The sequence below is a fragment of the Homo sapiens genome, chromosome 14, assembly GCF_000001405.40.
Source record: "Homo sapiens chromosome 14, GRCh38.p14 Primary Assembly".
Lineage (NCBI taxonomy): Eukaryota > Metazoa > Chordata > Mammalia > Primates > Hominidae > Homo > Homo sapiens.
Genome location: NC_000014.9, coordinates 100,603,344 through 100,604,670, shown reverse-complemented (window position 1 = coordinate 100,604,670; position 1,327 = coordinate 100,603,344). Strand labels below are relative to the sequence as shown.

The window sequence follows — 1,327 nt, the reverse complement described above, 5'->3', positions numbered from 1 at the left end:
TTTTAGAGCAAAATATAGAAACACTACAAATAATATTGAAGTCTCTGTGCCCCAGGGTGAGGTGGGGACCATCTGGGACCCATATTCTCTTGCCACCGCCACCCCCACTTCAAGGAAGGAAAACAAGTCCTTCTGGGGCACATAGTGTGTCCACAGCCTGTCCTGGGAGCCCCCTCCGTGAGCCCTTTGCTCCTCCTGATGACGCAGGCAGGTGGTGACTCTCGTCCCCGCATCACAGCGATGAGGAGGGCCTGCTTTCTAAGGAAGGCGTGCAGATGGGATATCTCAGCACCTCGGTGGCTTCATTGGGGTTGGGGTCCTTCCCCAATCTGCTCTCCCAGCCTTGGTGGCTCCATCCCACATGTCCCAAGGTGGCCCTTGGTTCCAGACCTCGCCTGCACGTGTTAACACACCTCAGGGAGCAGTGACAGTGTCTGTCCTATGAGTCTCTTTGATGGGGGAAGTTCGCCAGCGCATTTTCCTCCCATCTCCTCGGGACTGCCCCAGCCACCTCCATGCCCATCCTGAACCGTTGCTGGCAAGACCAATGGCACCACGATTGGCTTGGTGGCCATATGCAAGAAACAAGGTGATCAGAGCAAATCAGGGTTCTCTTAGCCAGATGGAAGGACGGGCAAGGGGGTGAGGGGAAGGGTATCAGGTGGCAACACCCCACATGTTGGCCACCCTTGCCAGGGGCAGCAGCCTGTGGGAGGCAGGAGTGAGAGGGAAGTCACATCGTCCACGCCAAAGTCACACCCCTGCACTGCACCCCACCCCACCACCGGGACTCCCTGCACTGCCTCTACTACCCACCAAACTGCCAAACCACCCCCATGGCTCCACCCCTGCACCAGTCATGCCACTGCCCCCACCCACGACTGCATTCCACAGGGCTACAGACTGCACTGTCCCCACCACTGCTCCTTGCAAGGTGTGTGGGCCCAGCAGGGCTGGACGAAGGCTGGAGATGGTATTTGAGGAGCAAGGGCAGGATAGAGAGGCGGGACCGGGAACAAAGGCCACTTGTGGGCAAGCACCATGGGTTAGAGGAAGGATGCCAAGACCTCAGCCAGGGAGATTGGCCAGGGGAGGGGCCGCCACTCCGAGAGGAGGAAGCCGCAACAAGATGTGGGAAGCAACAGGGAGGAAGAAAGCCGGGTACAGCAGGGGCGGGAGGGGTCCTGGAGAGCAGTGGCAGCTGCCGCCTGCTGGCATCGAGTCCTGGCTGAGCAGGGGAAGGGGTCATCACAGAAACTGAGCCAGCTTTGTCACTCCCTGCTGTGGGTCGTCATCCTCTGGGTGCTCTCTGGCTGGACACCGGGGA

The 1,327-nt window shown here is 59.5% G+C and overlaps 1 annotated feature.

The window, feature by feature from the left end:
* Window positions 618-1,117: an enhancer, noted in NCBI's record as "H3K4me1 hESC enhancer chr14:101069891-101070390 (GRCh37/hg19 assembly coordinates)". NCBI's record gives its function as "activates a minimal SCP1, AML or CMV promoter by ChIP-STARR-seq in primed H9 embryonic stem cells {active_cell/tissue: H9 hESC(primed)}" and the evidence as "EXISTENCE:reporter gene assay evidence [ECO:0000049][PMID:30033119]".